Below are 17937 nucleotides of genomic sequence, written 5' to 3' on the forward strand. Positions count from 1 at the left end.
CTCAGAAGAAACCCACAGCAGGAGGGGACAGCTCTGAGAGGTATCGGAAATGAACATGCAGTGGACCCCCTTCTCCTAGCTCTACACCTTCTTTTCTTTGCCTTTGCTCCAGGTCTTAATGATGGACCCACAGCAGAGGCTGGGAAAGCCCAGTGCCCCTAAGGCCCACCAACAGTGAGATCTCAGTGTGGCAAACACAAGTGGCTTCCTTCTCCTGCTGCAGAACCCAGCATCACAGACAGCTGGTAGAGAGAGACAGTGTGCGTGTGTCGGATCTGAAAGTAGCTCATTAAGTAAACACATGCCAGATCCAAGGAAGGCAGGTCACCCTGCCTGTTCCAGAAATGTATGATTTCCTAGTCATGCAGACAAGGTGTTTTAGGGCCCCGAGAAGCCACCTTGACCCCCTGCACGTCCTCCAGACACTGGCCAGTAGTTGGAAAGCCCAGCCCCCTGCAGCTTCAGCCATAAATAGTGGTGGGGCCCTCATATGGGCCAAGTTTCTCATTTAACTGTTTCAATAACTCACTAAGGTAGTTGCTATTGCTTCTGTTTTATAAATGAGGAGCTGAGGCTCTGCTGGCAGACCCAGGAATCAAGCCCAGGTGTTGCTGATGCCAAGGTCAAGGCTTCTCAGGTTTGGGCTTTTAGTAGACTTGGAGGAGGGAAGAAAAGCTGCCCCCATGCAGAACTGATTTATCTGTCCAGGCTTGGTCCATGAAGCACTGAGACTCCTCCTGAGAAGCTGTTCAGAGGAAGGATGGAGGCTTCAGGAGTGGCCCATTCAGGGTGAGCCTGAGCTCACCCTGATCTGTAAGGCAATGAGCAGCAGCAACAGGAGTGCCCAAGACCCCAGCGTGCTGAGGTTCAGCAGAGGGTGGGACATGGCTGAGACACAGGTGCCTGCATCACCCTACTCCAGGGGGAGCTATCCACATCAGAGTGACTGTGAATGGCTGCCCCTGGAATTGTGCAGTGCACAGTCTGTGCAGGTGTGCATAAACGCCCAGCAAGTACCTAGCTGCTCACTGGACAAGCTGCTTATCTTCTTCTAGCTCTCATTTCCAGCAAACCAACACCTCTTTACCACCCATCCTTCCCTGCCAAGCCGGGGTGCCTTCTTTCGGATGGGGCCAGCTGGATGAAATCCTTTTATTGGATGTTTCCAACCAGGAACTGGGCAGCACAATGTGTCTCGGATGAGCAGGTAAGGTAGGTGACTAAGGGTTGGGCTGCTCATGTCCAGTGAGGGTTTGGAGGCTGGTACACCTGACAAGAAAACCCTCATGGATCCCTTTAAATAGATAGGCCTTAACTGTGATCTGTAGGTAGATCTCTTTCTTCCAAAGGATGGGAATTGGCATTAAACTTAACTTAAGTTTGATTCAAGTAGCCAAGACTGTTAGTGATCTCCCAAAATTTGTTCTTCTCTTCTTCCATTATAATGGAGCTGTAACTGGGTACATGGCCACCTAACCAGTGACTGCATTTCCCAACCCTTCAAGCAGCTAGATCTGGGCATATAGTAGTTCTTGACAATGGAATGTGAGTGGAAGTACGTCTCCATGCCTGGACCTTAAAACATTGTCCCTACACATCACCACAATCTTTTCCCTTCCTGAGAACTGCGACAGAGATATGTCTGAAATCCAGCTTCAACCATGCAGACAAGGACAGCACCTCAGAGAAGTGTTTCTAAGCTTAAGGGTACATTAGAATCACCTGAAGGACTTCTGAAACCGCAGCTGGCCCCACCCCCAGCGATTCTAATTCAGTAAGTCTGGGGTGGTGCCTGAAGTTTGCATTTATGACAAGTTTCTGGGTGACACTAGGGCTGCTTGTCTGGAGGCCACATTTGGAGACACACGCTGTCCTCGGGGATGGTACAGAAACAAGATGGCAGGATCCGGGATCCCTGTATGACTGTGTGGAGCAGAACAGCTTGCCTACCCTGACTGTAAGATGAGAGAGAGAGAGAGATAGAAAAACTTTGTTTTTTCTAAGCTACTGTTTTATTGGGTCTCCGAGTTAGTACCTTAGCCTTTGCTCTAAACTGACCCATACCCTTGGTGGTCAGAGTCTTCTCTGTATAAATGTTCCTCTCAGAAAAGAAAAAGAGCTCCTACTCTAGCTCCAGCTCTAGGAGCAACAAATTAGTCCTTAATCAGACTAGTACATAGAGCCGGGATAGAATCTCAGCTGTAAGACTGCAAAGCTCAGCCTCATCAGAATGCATGCTGTCTCTCAAGTCACCCACAGTTTCCTGGATCCTGTCTCCCTCTTGAGTTACTGCCAGATCTTTCTTCCTCTGAAGCTTTACTTCTTTGTCCAGTCATCCTGCACCCCACCACTGTCTGACCTCCGCGCCCACTCTACTCATCCCAAAGTTACTGTCATTGCCAGAGCCAAAGGTGGCTTTTCAAACCTCCTCCCGCTTCACCTCTGCTGAATTTGAAGCACTGATCACACCTTCCTTTTGAAGACCCTCTCTCCACTGCTGGTTTCGTGGTACATTCTCACCTCGTTCTTCTCCTGAGTTTCTAATTTGCCTTGATCTGAACATCATGACCTCCAAGTCTCCAGCTTTGTCCTCTCTTCCTTGGCCTCAACCACTCGTCTTCTTCCTGGCTTACCCCTTTAAGGCTGGCACTCCCTCCAGGGTGAGGTGGGGAACATTTTTTGTTCTTTGCCACCCCCATTCATGCCCAACCCCATCCACCTCCAGCAATCTGATGACTCAAAACCCTGCTGAGCTGCAGGCTCCCTCCCATGGCTGCAGGTCCCTCCCATTCAGCACGCCCAAAACGCAGTCAACAACATCTCCCTGCGACCCATTCATCCCCTATTCCTAATCTCAGTAAGTGACGCTCCATCGCCTGTGAAATGCTCACCCCTTTTTCTCAGTGTCACCACTTCCCTCCCCAACATGCAATGCTTTACCAAGACACCCCCTTCTGCAGCTCTCCTCAAAGAACACCCTGCAAATCTGCCTATTGCACTCTTCTCACTGCTGCCCTGCTTGCGTCTCCCCTCCTCATTCAGCATTGCAGAAGGTCTGCTGAAGGTTCATGTATCTGTTTTCCCCTCTGAGATTAACTAGTTAATTAATCTATTAATTTATTGAACATCCTAGGCCTCACTATGTGGCATAGGTCCTGGAGATGAAGAGAAGGGAATGAATGACGCTGTCTCTGAACTCCGATAGCTCACAGCTGGAAAAACGGACACGTCAACATCACAATGGATGAAGTTCAGGGGGAAACGTGTGCAGGAGGGATGAAGAGGGAACTATGGACGTAGGTTTTTAAGGATGAGCAGGAATTAGGCAAAGAAGGTGAAGGGAAGGTATGGTTCAGGCTCATGATCGTGGACTTTGTAAGCAAAAGGGGACCACCAGATTATGAGAATTAGAGTCACCAATTATGAGGTTAAATGAAAGAAATCCAAATGGCCCAGTGGGTTATAAACCAGAGTCTGGGGTTGGGGAATGAGCATTTATTTAAATGAATTCTAAAAATACACTTAGCAGCCCAGCTATCTGAAGGGAGAATTGGGCATGTATTAATCGATTTCCTGTAATTCTGCAAGACCACAGCGGAGGCCAAGTTGTCTAGGACAGTCAAGGGCTGTCCAGTCTGCCCTGCAGTCAGTCCATGGAAGCTGGCCCAGGCTGCCCACCTGCTGGGGTGGACCTAGCTAGAGGGGCAGAGGAAACCGATGGTGAGAAGACAGACCCTAAGCTCACTCATGAAAATCACTGGCTTTCTACACTAAGAGCACAGAGTTTTAATTCTGACACACTGGGTCTTCAAAACACCTTTCAGAAATATACTAATATGCTTACTGCTCCCTTGAATGAGCTTAAATATAGGGAAGGAAACAGTCTATAATTTTTCCCATACTTGGAGAATGGATCTACGATTTCCATAGAGAAGAGCCCATCTTTTCTTCACCCGTGCGGAGCCACATGTAAAGAGGCCCTGTCCATGTCCATGCGGGAGCTGCTTGCTCACCTCCCCTCCTCGCCCCCGAGTGAAGGCCAGTGCTTGGCAAGAGGGAATCTGGTTGGGGAAGAATGTGTGCTTCTGGATCCCAGGGGAGGGGCAGGGGCTGAGGAAGTCCTCACTTCCCATGATGATCAAAGAAAGGGGAATTGCCAAAGTGATGCTAGGGACAGGGCCGTCCGCTAACTGATGTGCTGTGTTTATAAAGGCAGAGGACACGATCGCAGGGGCAAGCAAAGGCCCAGGTGTTGGGGATGGGGTCTAGATTCAGGAGGCCTTCTCTACTTGCCAGCACCTTGAGCAAGTCACCACCTCCCTCTGTGCCTCAGTTTCTTTATCTGTACAATGAGAAAGTTGGTGTTCTAGTAGATTCTTTCAAATAAGTTTTTATGTAGAGCCTCGATATATCAAAAAGATAAAGCAGAGCCCCTCTGGTTGAAGGGGTGTGTTAAGCCCCTCTCCACTCATTTAAGCTCCTCTCCACTCATTTAAGCTCCTCTGACCACTGTCTCCCTCCGCCACCGACCCCAAAGCTGGGACCACAAAATTCCTGCTTGGACACTCTAGGAGACCAACAGGCAGCCAGCAGCTTTTCCATTCTTCAATTGCCTATCATCACTCCACACTTGTTTATGGTTAAAATGTGGGGAGAGTTGGGACCATATCACAGACTCACAAGACACTTTTAGAACTGAAGGTGGCCTCCAAGACCATGGAGAAGCCCTTCATTTCATAGACAATATTCAGCTTCTGCTGACCTCCAACCTGGTCCCAACCCCTTTCCATTTCTTTCTTTTTATTGGGATAAAATACACACAACATAAAAGTTACCATTGTAACCATTTTACAATGGGAGTCCTTTCAGATCAGCTCTGCTCTGCTCCTCAGACCTGGAGCTAGGACAGAAACATCTGAAGGGGGTCTTCCCTGTCACTCTGCTGTCCATCCAAGCTGGTCCAGCCAGTAGCCGGAGGCTGGTGCCTTGCAGAAACTCCAGAAGGCCAGAGGGCTGGGTAACCATGAGGCTGACAGCAACATCCACAGTCCCCCAGGAAGCCAGGCAGAAGCAGACAACACTGCAGGCCCAGCAGCCTCCCAGGCTTGGGTTTAGGACCCAGACTGGAGCTGGAGGCCCACATGCGTCTCTGTTCTCAGGGGCCAAGGTGAGTGTTCACTGCTGTGTACAGGGGTGAAGGGAAGGCACAGAGACCATGGATCCTCAAGGCTGTCTAGAGGATGTGGGAGGCACGTCCATGCCCCTGATCAACAATGATCCCAGCTTTCAGACTGGTCTGAACCAAGAGCTCTCCACTAGGCTTGATGCAGAGGACTCAGAGCCTAGGACAGGGGGCCCTCAATAACACTGCTGCCCCTTCTAGGGTGGGGTCTCCAGAGCAGCACCCCCCAGGTCCACAGCTGCAGCCACTGGGAAATGACTCTGGTTGGATGCTGCAGAGGACACCCACAAGCTTCAGGGAGAGGTCCTCTGTAGGGCAGCTCATACACCATCCTGAGCACAGGCAGAAGTGTGGCTTTTGTCCCCTTCCCCATCCCTGGTGCCAGGAGGTGGGTGAACATAAATGTGAGCCTGGCTCTCTGGTGTTTTCTTCAGGGGCTGGGATGTCACACACATGGAGGGAAAATTAATGTCACCCTTGCCAGCTGCAGGACCTTGGGCAGGTCTTCTGATCTACCTGAGCCAGTGTCTTCTGCCCAGTGGGGATCAAAGGCTGAGGATCCCCGAGAGAGTGACCGTGATGCCCCAGCCGGTGCCTGAATTCAGTAAGTACTGGCTGGATGTGCAGCTGCCCCTCCCCAGCACACAGCAGCAGCCCAGCAAGGGATAGTGGCAGTTTGGATGTTCTGTGGCTTTGGCAGGATGGGCCAGGCTGGAGAAGAGTTTACTGCGGGGTGGAAGGAGGAGCTCTCCCACAAAAGCCTTCCTCATGCACGACATTTCATGCTTAAGGATATTCATAACCTGCCCGCTGGGAATAGGAAAGGCAGCGACATTTCCTTCCTGGCAGCAGGAATTGAATAAACAATGTCCGAATAACTTAAAAACTCATCTTCTTTCCCAGACAGAAGGATTTGTACAATTTCTCATTTGCTTTCAAAATAGTGCCTGTCTTGTCTCTGGAACAGGATACCATGGCTTAGCAATGAGACTAAAAGACCATTCCTTGCAGGGAATTATAACTTCGGGGCCCCTGAGATGGTATGAAGAGTTTTACTATGTATGTGCTGCAGTTCCACAGGTTTTAGCAGATCTCCAAAGGGGTTTGTGACTCCCTCACTCAAAAAGGGTAAGAACCACTGATGTGGAACCCTTCTTTTTTTGTGTAGGCCTGAACTGTCAACTCCCAAGAGTAGACTATTTTCCTGGTGCAGGCTCAGAAACCCAGTGGGCTCCAGAGATGTTACTAGAGGCCGAGCTGGAGCTAGAAGCCAGGTAGCCCAGGTGTCCAGACTCCTGGCCCAGCCTGCCTTCTCCCACACCACTCTGGCTGATAAATCTGTGTTGAGGGTGAGGGAGAGAACACTGATGCATCCAGATTTGAATTCCAATGTTCACTTTGGGACTTGGATGTAAATCTGTTAGGTCTTAAGTCCGAAGGTGATGTGATTTATTGAAAAGAGCTTGGAAGTTGCTAAGCTCCCTGACAAATAAACCATGTCTCTCCATCTCAGGTCTGTGAAAACATGTATTTTAGGGACTTAGAAATCCCTTTGGAAAGCATTAGAATCTTCTGCTTGCAAGAGAGCCAAGCACACAGATACTTGTCTGGTAAAAAGATGCTTGACCTTTTTGGGCAAGGAAATAATGAACGCACATGGCGATTAACCAACGACTCCCACACTGTTACCCCAATTCTTTCCAAAAAAAGGAAGATTTTTAGTTCCATGAGTTGTTGAGGGAGGATGTTATAGAAACCAACTTGGCATCAGAATACCCTAGAGAGTGCCCAAATCAGCTCCTTCATCATGTACTCGTCACACCACCACCACCATCATCACTCACGCCCCATTGTTTCCAAGGTTTAGAAAGCTGCCTGCCTGTCTCACATGGAGAAGGAACCTTAGAAATCAGCCCACTCTCATATTTTGGCTAAAGAGACCAAGAGGGTGGATGTCATTTCTCCATTCTCAAGTCGATCAAGTCTGAGAAGAGTTGAGATGCAAATCCGTATCTCTGATTCTCAGCCCAGTGCTCCAGGCTAGGGAGGACTGTGGACTTACAGTGTTACCCCCCCGGGGTCATGGCCTTTGTGCTCCCATTGTCTGTGGCTGTAACCAAGGATAACGATACTAAGCCATCAGAAGCTAATGAGCACACAGCGCTTTGGAGACACGAAGATCTGAAAGGCTGCCTCATTATTATTGACGAGGATGATAATGTGTAATATTTATACACCACCTTGACTGCTAATTTCCAAAGTGAAGGAGGAATTTAAGGACCCAGTCAGCTCTGTTGGTAGCGATGGCATTCTAGACAACCTGGACAGAAGATCTCTGGTTGCTCCAAGTGCCTCTGGTCCCTGGATTCTAAGATGAGCACATCAGCAATCCAACCTTTGTATGGTGTGGACTCACTTCTTGCCAAGGAAACCCAGGAAAATGGGCAAGACTTGGGAGGGCTGGGAAAGATCACTTTGCGTATTCATAAACTCAACTAGTGTAGATTAACTGAAATGCCATATCACGCCTGATCACAGGCAAGCTTCCCTACCTCCAGTCCCGCCTATTTTGAGGCCAGACCTCCCTGGGTTTGAATCTCAGCTCTGCCATTTATTGGTTTTGGGATTTGGGGAAGGTCTTTAAGCTCTCTGTGCCTCAACATTCACAACTATAAAATGGGGATAATAACGCTGACTTTAGAGAGTTGTAATGATTACAGGAGATAATGTATGTTAACACCTCGTACTGTGCCTGGCACGTGGTAGGCCTTCAGTGTAATTCTTATTACATTCTTATAACTGCCCCACAGGCTACATCACTGGAGGGCAGGAAACTGGGGCCAAGTACCCTGTGGGAATCTGTCCTCCCATAGGGGGAGGTTAGGAGAACAGAATTCACCCATCAATTACGAGGTGAAAGTCAGCAGTCCAATTTTCCTACTTCCCAGGCATGTATAACATTTATTTAAATTATTTCAAGATAGTTCAAAGTTGTGTTTAAATCCTTGTTTACCAAGTGGGTACCTTCTGTAAATTAATATACTAACATTAAAAGATAAATATACATGTAATAATGAAAAATAGAGCCCAATGTTAAAAGTATTATAAATGATAATTTTCTAGGGAGGAATTCATTATTATCATTGGTGGAGTTATTTTGTCCCAAGCTTTGGTTCCTGCAGCTCACTTCACCTCCCAGGGCCTCAGTTATGTGTAAGAGAACAACTGTGGTTATTTCCAAGCTCAGACCTGAAGCCTTTCGGTTCCCCCTCGTCAGCTTCCGTGCTTTCAACCTGACCCATTCGTGAGGTTTGCCTGCCATGAGCAACCATGAGCACGGCCTTTAAGTTTGAAAGGCCAAGCCTTAGAGCAGTGTTCTCAAACTTGAACGTGCTTCAGAATCACCTGAATGCACACTGGTAGGTTGCTGGACCCCTCCCAAGAGTTACTGAGTCAGCAGGTTTGGGGTAGGGCCTGGGATTTTGCGTTTAACAAGCAATGTTGATGCTGCTGGTCCCAGACCTCACTTTGGGAACTACTGTATTAGAACTACTTTTGACCTCAGATGTCCACTAGAACCACCTGAGGGTTAAAAAAAATCAATTCCCAGGCTGCACCCCAGGCGAATTAAATTGGGACCTCAGAGGCTGGTACTCAGAGAGACAGCAGTGTCATGCACTGAACTGACTTAGGTGTTGATAACCCCAGGCTGATGCGGGAAAGATTAGGGGTCAGCAAACTTTTTCTATAAAGGACCTGTTAGTATATATTTTTGGCTTTGCAGGCCACATACGGTTTCTGCAGTATATTCTTCTTTGCTTTTTGTTTGTTTGTTTCAAATCTTCGAATATGTAAAAAATAATTCTTAGCTTTCAGGTCATAGCGTAAAAACAGTTTTGGAGCCCTGGAGAATTTGCATCAACCAGGCACGTATCTGTCAAATTTAATGGTGAAAATAGCTACTCACAATTAGCATTATTTATACAATAAATTAAAACCAAGGTGAATGTGGATAATTTAAACGAATTAAAGGTACAATGCAAATGTGGCTTCTCCTTACCAAACTTTTACTGTTACCCATCACTGCTCTTTCTAACCGAGTTCTCCTTTCTGAAAAAGAGGAGAGGGGTTTCCTTCTGCCTCCGCCCCCTTTCTGGTTCAGTGTACTAGCATTTGATTCCCTGTACTTGCGAGTTGAAAGCCCTTAGCTATCTGCTCAGTGCTGTCAGAAAGTGTTAATTGCCTTTCTAGGATTTCATTCTCTCCCAGTGCTTCCAGTTCTAACTTCCTGTCTCACCCTCTCTCTCCACACAGAGGAGTTTCTTTCTTCTGGAAAGCCTGGCTTAGAAGCCTCTGCATGTACAAAAAAGGATCCCCAAATGCGGAGTTATCTGGCACTTTCTCACATCCTCTTCCTTGTGCCTCTCTTCTCTCCCAAAGAGTACTCCCTCAATAACTAAGCCACTCCCTCCTTCCCTCCTGCCCTGCCTCATCCCAACCTATCTGCTCAGCTTTGGTATAAAAATGGTCATGCCTAGAACAGCAAGTGAGTATCTGAATGGGCCTAAGAACTCCTAGAAGTTTTTTACTTTTCAATCTGTTCCAAATCTCAGACAGACAAAATGGACAATTCCACCTCTACTCCGATCATTTGCTTTTAGAACCTGTTAGTAAAACACCTAAGCTCTTAAAAATGTAAATGACGTAAAGCAGGAGGGTGGAGATCTGGATATATTAATAGAAATGGAAGCCTCCATCATTTTCTAAACATACAAATGACTAACTTGAATCCTAGGGCCCTTGGATGGCCCACCTGTTGAAAGGACTTGTGTTGCCTTAACTGGGCCACCATTTAAAAATGTGACCACAAAGCCTTGAGGCAGGGCTGGCTTCATGGGTGTGCAACATGTGTGGGCTCACAGGCTCACATTTGGAAGGACCCTGCATTTGGTTTAATGTCCTGCTGTTGGCATCTTGAAATTCTTGATAATTTCAAATTTGAACTTGTGTCTCATAAGTGAAGTCCAGTGGGACAGTGGGACATGAACATTAGCTGAAGACATGTGCATATGTGTGTCCGTGCCTTCCTGCTCTCTATTTGCATATGGTGTTCACGATGCCTGTGAGCACAGAATTCCAGGGATCCACAGTGCATGGGAGCTCAGAGAACCTCAAAGTGAGCCCAAGACAAGATCTCTGCGACAGAGTAAACAGGTCGTTCACAGCACTGAAAAGCCACACTCTATGTTGGAATCAGAACTTTGTTCAAATGCAGAAAGATATACATTCTAAGAAACACGAACAACCGAGGAATCTTATGATATCCTATCCTTTCTCATTTGTGTTGCTTCCTGCTTTAACCAACCACTAACGCCAAAATGATGACATAGAAGGAAAAAAAAATAGGGTCATGGATAGTTCCCTTTTCCTTTCATCCCTCTTAACTTATTGTTAGGCATTTCAAGGAATTCTTTAAATTAGTTGGGCGTAGTGGCACATGCCTGTAGTCCCAGCCACTCTGGAGGCTGAGGTGGGAGGATGGCTTAAGCCTGGGAAGTTGAGGCTACAGTGAGCCATGATCAAGACACTGTGCTCCAGCCTGGGTGACAAAGTGAGACTCAAAAAAATTTTAAGAAAAAAAAAAAGGTTCAGAAGAAAAAAGTACAAAGGATAGAGGTGAGCTGTGTTGTCCTGTTTGTTTGAGGTCAGTTAGAAAAAAAAATTACATTATCTTATTTAACCACATAGCCGGTATGGTAGCTAGACTGTACAGCCTTTTTGGCAAGTAGAAGTTTAAGTTTCCATAAATATTCTTGAAATGCTATAAAGAGATTTCTCTTTCATAGCTGCCTTTCATAGATAAGTAGTAGGGTTTTGACCTTTGTCCTGTACCCTGGTTTTAGAATAATAGTCCTCAACACTACCTGAGAATAGAATTATGTTTCTTATTGTGGAGACGGGGCCTTGCTCTGTTGCCCAGGCTGGTCTTGAATTCCTGGGCTCAAGCGATCTTCCTGCTTCAGCCTCACAAAGTGTTAGGGTTACGGGCATGAGCCACTGCACCCGGCCCCTTTCTGAGCCTTTTAAACACACTGGAATTCTGTTAGTAAATGACCTAAACTGATGTTTTTAAAAATGTAAATGATATAAAGCAGAAAGCTAGACACTGGATAGTAAAACCAAACTATTAGTGATATGGCCTTTCATTAATATTTTAAAGATACAGAGTCAAATTCTCATTTATATGGAAGTCTGGCTGACAAAAGTCTTTCAAACGATGAAGTCCATGTTTAGCAATAGTAAATTGGAACGAGGCTGAGAGCCACTAGGGTTTATCCCACGCCACCATCAATGGGGGCCCCTACTCAATGCTTCAGAACAGACTGGGGAACCATCAAAGCAATTCTCCCGAACATTTCCTGAGCCTCTGTAACATCCTCAATTTTCGGCATTTCACAATAAGGACACTTCAGCTCTAAGCAGGGCCATGCGCTTGCACATGAGCGGTGAGGAAGGGAGAGGAGGCTGTTGGGGTGCAGACACTTTCCTTCCCATAGTTGTCTGTGGGGAGTAGCATGGAAGTAACAGTTGGAAAGGGAAGAAAGGGGGTGCCTGGTTGGCCTGGGGCCTAACCAGCAGGAGGTCACAGACCTCTGGACTACTGACAGAGGAGACCAGCATCAGACAATCCCATAGCGGTCACCATCTGAGAGCCCCCTCCTCACCATGGGCCCTTTTCCAAACCACTTCACTGTGGTCATCAGACACTTGGGTGCTCCATACCCTCTACTGAGTTCAGCTCAGGCAGGCATCCATGCACCTCACTAGGAGTTACAGGTCATTTTCTCCATTTACAGATGAGGAAACTGAAGCTTAGTGAGGTCACATAACACAGGGAAGTTCTCACGGAGAGGAAGGGGCATAGCCAGGATCCACGCCTGGACCATCTACCCCCACAGCTGAGCTCTCCTGCCACCCTTGCTGCCTGCTGCCTTCGCCTGCAGGCTCTGCCCACCTTTCCTTTTTGGGAGCTCCAGGTGTGGCCAGGTGGGTGCCACTCAATCTGCACTGGGCTGTTTTCTCACCTATTCTTGGGTGTAAGTTTAATCTCTTCAACAACTAGCACTCAGCATTCAGGGGCTGGGTCCTGATGCATTTCTTAGGGCCTGGAGGTTCAAGCTTATAGCAGACACTTGGTGAATATTTGTGCACAGTGTATATTTGTTGCCCCCTCTGCAACTCTATCTGTGCTGTGGTGTGTGAGTCCAGAAACACACCAAAGTCAGCCAGAGTGGGGACATGTACAAGAAGCAAAGGAGTGTCAAAAGGAGTGAACAGAGGGCCCAGTTCTTTGCTCCCATATTCTCTCCATTTGTCTCCACAATCTCCCTTAATAGCCCTCCTAAACCAACCAAACAAAACAATGATGCCCTCTTGTCTGTTGCGGGCATGGCCAGTAATGCTCCTCGCATGGGGCTTAGAAAAGGGAGAGGTAATGGCCAGGCGCGGTGGCTCACGCCTGTAATCCCAGCACTTTGGGAGGCCTAGACGGGTGGCTCACAAGGTCAGGAGATCGAGACCATCCTGGCTAACATGGTGAAACCCCGTCTCTACTAAAAAAATACAAATAAATTAGCCGGGCGTGGTGGCGGGCACCTGTAGTCCCAGCTACTCGGGAGGCTGAGGCAGGAGAATGGCGTGAACCCGGGAGGTGGAGTTTGCAGTGAGCCGAGGTCACACCACTGCACTCCAGCCTGGGCGACAGAGTGAGACTCTGTCAAAAAAAAAAAAAAGAAAAGAAGAAAAGGGAGAGGTAATCTAGGTTCTGTGCCCCAAACCTGGGCACAGTGTTGGACACAGCAGTTGCCCTACCATTTCCAAGTGTATTTATAGAAAAAAACAGCACGAGACAATGTTTTACATGGAGACGAGCTTGGAAACCCTAGGATGCATGGCTGCTGTAAATACAGGCCAAGGCTGGTGCACCACGTGGCTGTCCTGCAGGCTCAGCACTCGCCCAGAGAGCAGAGCTCCCCTGCACTGCCAACTACTCAAGCAAGACAATGCTGAGTGGGCATCTCCTGGGGATGAGGCACATCTGGGCAGGCTGCCTGGGAACATACCCAACAGAGGACGACGACAAACACAGTCACCTTAAATAAGGAGCTATCAAATATCCATGTGTGGTTTCTCCACCTTGCAGATGTTTTGTGTTTTTTCCCTGTCCAGGGCCTGTCTCTCCCATGGATCAGAGTTCCCACATAGCCCTTGCTACCGTATTGTATGCAAAATCGTTTTCATATTAACTCCAACCAAAAATTCAGGAAATTAAATCAGTTGCATAAAAATTGCTGTGGATCAATGCCATGGCCAAACCGAAATGAGCCGAGGAACAACCACTCTGTGTGCGTGAATCCTGCCTGTGACCCTCACAGAAGGCCAAGTGTGCATTACTTCCAGGTGCCGTACAACTGTTTCAACTTGGAGCTGAAAAGATGAAAAGACCCCTTGAAGTCTTCTGGTGCAATGGCTTTCTAGTTTTATTTTAGTGGGAGAACACTTTCTTCAAAGGAAATCCTACCTGGAAGCCGGCATGTAACTTAGATGAACCCCAAGCTGCTGGTGTGAGGGATCCAGGGCCATGGGGCTTGCTCTCCCCGTCCAAAGCTCCTAGGAGCACAGTTTGAAAAACAGGCATGCATCATCCCCAGCCCCTTGTTAACCTCTTTGTTCACTCATTCACACAACCATATTTCTTGAGCACCTACTGTGTCTAGGTGCTGGTGAGCCAGCAGGTGACAGGACAAACGCAGTCTCCGCTTTCATTAAGCTCACACTGTAGTAGGACGTGGCAAAGGGAAGTTCAGAAAGGGTGGCCCGTGCCACAGAGGAAACAGATCACGGAAGTGATGTGAACGTGACGAGGAGGTGGCCACTTTAGATGGGGATAAGGACAGGCCTCTCTGAGGAAGTGAAACACAAGCTGAGATCAGAATGACAATCTGGAAAGATGCCCTGTTTTGGACCAATGAGGAAGCAGACCCAGTGAGGCAAAGCAACCTTCCCCAGGACATGGCGGGCAGGGGCACAGCTGGGACCTGACTTGGGTTTCCAGCATCCTCCACCCAGGGCTCTTCGCTTTCACAGACATTACTAAACAGCTACCACATACAAAGATGTCTCAGTGGGCCCTGTGCAATGGTTCACACCTGTAATCCCAGCACTTTGGAAGGCTGAGGGAGGTGGATCGCCCGAGGTCAAGAGTTAGAGACCAGCCTGGCCAACATGGTGAAACTCTTTCTCTACTAAAAATACAAAAAGTAGCCAGGTGTGGTGGCGGGCGCCTGTAATCCCACTCCATCTCAAAAAAAAAAAAAAAATTATCAGTGACAGGTGACATCCAAGGGCAGATAAACCACCAAACCATGTCCTGCTGTTTGGTGCTGTCTGGCGTGACTCTTCCCTCCCCTCCCCTCCCCTCCTCAGCTGGGGCCAGGGCTGGCTCTGGATCTGAAGGCTCTATACCGCAAAAGACAGAGGCCTGCAGTTGACACCCTAGATCTGTGACCTTGGCTGGGAACGCTTCTTCATCTCCTATCTCTCCGGCTGCAAACAGGAGGGTGTTCCTTACTGCTTCATTTGGCATAAAGGTAAAAGCAAGATGGTGGGCATAAGCCCACTGGTTCATCTGGAGGATGGCTCTCTGGAAAGGCAAAGTGCTCCAGGGCGATTTAAAGACAGCAAAGCCAGTTTTCCTCCTGTGCTATAGAAGGCATTCATACAAGAACTATAAGAAACTACACAGGTCTATACATATTTTACACGCAAGAGTCAGACACTCCTGCTGTGCTGAATATGACAGGAAGCAGCCTGCAAATGGCTCGCCTACTATCCACAAACCAAACAGCTCCAGGCCACCCAAGCACTCCCCAGACCACCAATTCTGCACCTGTGGCCCAGCAGTGCCCCTGGCCCTGGGAACCTTACTGCTGCCAAAGCACTTTCAGGCATTGACCAATGGGAGCTTCCAGCCTCCTTGGGAGATAAGCCAGTGATTATCAGTCCCATTTTGCACACAGAGTAACTGAGCCCCAGACGACCTTTCCAGGCAACAAAGCGAATGACACAGTGACAACCACTAAGTTCCAATTCAAATCCAGGTCTCCAGACTCCAGCTGCTGCTTTCCACTACAAGCTGCCCCCAAATCGAACACACCCTGGCCTAATACCACCCTCATTCTCCTGCCACCCCACCCTCCGCCTGCATACACCCGATGCCCCAGAGTGCACTTAGGACTTTTTTCAGAAGCCGCCTCTTCTCACAACCCCACCTCAGAATACTTGCCACACACTGCAGACCCCTGGGACACTATTCCTGTACACACAGCAGCTGAGACCTATGTTAAGATGCTGTCCGGCCGAACCCAATTGAGCCGCCTCCCTTTCACACTTTCCAGCCAATGCACACGTTAACACTGCACATATCGCCTAGGAAAGCTATACACCCCAAAACCTCCAGACCCTCCTCCTTTCATAGGAGCCAGCCAGCTGCATGTGCAGGGATGGGCACACAAACAGGTGACAGGGCCTGCATAATCATGTTGCCACAAATGCACAGACGTGCCCAGGGAACACAGGACCTCCCTGTACAGGCAGCCTGACCCACTGGGAACAACGTGCACCACACACAGCAGGTGCCTGCATTTAGCAGACTCTGTGTTGCGTGGGGCAGGCAGCCACGACCTGTCCACATCTAGCTAAGCCGAGTTTGAGCCTGTCGGCTATGCTTGTGCACAAGAGGCAGCTACTGGAATTCAGGGTGGGCGAAGAGAGTGACATTTTGAAGAGGGACAGCCATGTCCCGGGAGGGCACACGGCCCCCAGAGGCCCAGAGCTCTTCCCAAGGCACAAGTGCAGAAGGCGGACTCAGGCGTGTGGTTAAGGACCCCCTGCTGCGGGCCCCTGCACACACCAACGCGTGCTCCCACGCGCCGCGACTCCCCCGGGATGCCTGCCCCACCCCTATCCGCAGCCAGCGTCCCCCTGCCCGCCGGCCCCGCCACGGTCCATCAGGGACTGCGGGCGGCGGAGGTGGCGGCGCCTTGCCGGGACCCCCAGCCTCCCTCCCCCGCCCCCGGCGCCCCACCCCACGCGGGCGCGCTTCTCCCGCCGCAGCCGCCCGCGCTCACCTGGCCCGGACACGGGCTCCGCCACGCGGTGATGGAAGCTGAGCCTAGAGAGGCGGAGAGCGGCGGCTCGCAGGGCCACCCAGCGGCACACGGCCCGCGCCTCGGCCCGCCCCTTCCTTGCCGGCCGGGGGAGTGTCCGCGCGCCTCCAGCCCGCCCCGCGCCCCGCTGCGGTGCCCAGTGCCCGCCGTCCTCACCTGGCCAGCGGGACGCGCCCGGGAACCCCGCACGCGGGCGGGCCGCCTCTTTGTTAGCAAGTTTGCCTTTCTGTGATTCAGAGCACGCGGAGCGAATTAAGTGGAGTGAGGGGTACTGTGCGACTGTCTGCGGGAAACCTGCGGGGAGCGCGGGAAGGGATGGACTTGATGAGCCGCGGCGCAGCGGCTTTCAAACCTCCCCGCGCTCCGCAGCCCCCAGCCCCCGCCCTACCCGCCCTCTCAGATCCCTCTGTCTCCTGCCTAGGTCGGCCCCTGGGAGAGGTTGGCTCCTGGGGGTTCCCAGGGACTTTAGGGACAAGGTTTGATGACATAGAGCTTCCCCACGCCCCCTTCCTCCCCTCCCCTCATCCTCCGCCCCGCGACTCCCATCACTGCCCTGTCCCTCTCAGGGTCCTGGGGACCATCGGCCCTGCATTCCCTGGGCTCAGGGAGAATCAAGATTCTTCCTAATCTGGAGCAAAAAGAGTAGACGGTAGGGCCCAGCTGTCCCTGCCTGCACCCAGTGGAGGTGCAAAGCTGTCCCTAAGTGGGTCTGTCCTAGCAGTGGGGCGTGCATTGTGGGTTATTTCCCAGAGCAACGGTGGCCTTGTGCTTATCCAACCATGTTCTTTTGAAACTTGACTGCAGCGAGCCGGGTTATCCATATACCAGGTTGCTAGGTCAGGGAGGCCGCTACTGGGGGGCAGGGAACGCGAAGCACGCCACTGTGCCCCAGAGCACCAGTGCTCTCAATGCCGCAGCTGACCGCTGGGAAAGGCTTCGCACAGGGCCATGCGGGAAGGAGATGACAGCCACAGTCCCCTGAGATGAAGACCTGAATGCAGAAGCTGCCGCGAAGGAGTCCCCAGAGCTTGCTGTGCGCGGTGCAGGAGGAGGAGTGTGCTGGGGGTGAGGGGGTAAAAACCTGAAGTCTGGAGGAGACCTGGAGTGATGTGAGGTTGAGTTTCGTGTGGGGCAAGCCGGGTTTGAGAAGCAGGCCACCTTCTTCCAGGGGCACACATCCAGCAAATGCAGTGGGAATGACCTGTGGTTCTTAGGAGAGAGGCTGAGGCAAGAGATGCGATTTTTGGAATCATCTGGAAAGAAGTTGGGCTGACAAGAGAAGAAATGGAGCGAGAGGGTAGAAAAGATAGAGAGAACAGGGCTGAAGACAGAAGCTGTCTAAGGAGGGGAAGGAGCCCATGAGAGAAACAATGTGGGAGGGTCGGGACTGTGCAGAGTGAAAGAACTCAGGAGAAGAGGGATGTTCAGTGGGGGCCTGGGCTACAGAGACACCAGGAAGGAGGTGCCCAAGAAAACAGGTTTAGATTTGGAAATCAGGAGATCTCTGGGGGCTTTCAAGAGAATTAT

At 49.9% G+C, this 17937-nt stretch overlaps 1 long non-coding RNA gene across 1 annotated transcript in view, besides 2 other annotated features; it reads right to left on the bottom strand.

The window, feature by feature from the left end:
* The window catches only part of LOC100128253 (uncharacterized), a 67609-nt gene extending 51174 nt beyond the window's left edge, over nt 1-16435 (bottom strand). The window contains exon 1 of the long non-coding RNA NR_148995.1: nt 16372-16435. This is a non-coding gene — a long non-coding RNA (uncharacterized LOC100128253). The remainder of the gene's footprint in view (nt 1-16371) is intronic.
* Nucleotides 15383-15935: an enhancer, noted in NCBI's record as "H3K4me1 hESC enhancer chr12:3474236-3474788 (GRCh37/hg19 assembly coordinates)". NCBI's record gives its function as "activates a minimal SCP1, AML or CMV promoter by ChIP-STARR-seq in primed H9 embryonic stem cells {active_cell/tissue: H9 hESC(primed)}" and the evidence as "EXISTENCE:reporter gene assay evidence [ECO:0000049][PMID:30033119]".
* Nucleotides 15936-16486: an enhancer, noted in NCBI's record as "H3K4me1 hESC enhancer chr12:3474789-3475339 (GRCh37/hg19 assembly coordinates)". NCBI's record gives its function as "activates a minimal SCP1, AML or CMV promoter by ChIP-STARR-seq in primed H9 embryonic stem cells {active_cell/tissue: H9 hESC(primed)}" and the evidence as "EXISTENCE:reporter gene assay evidence [ECO:0000049][PMID:30033119]".

This window comes from Homo sapiens, chromosome 12 (genome assembly GCF_000001405.40).
Source record: "Homo sapiens chromosome 12, GRCh38.p14 Primary Assembly".
Classification (NCBI taxonomy): Eukaryota; Metazoa; Chordata; class Mammalia; order Primates; family Hominidae; genus Homo; species Homo sapiens.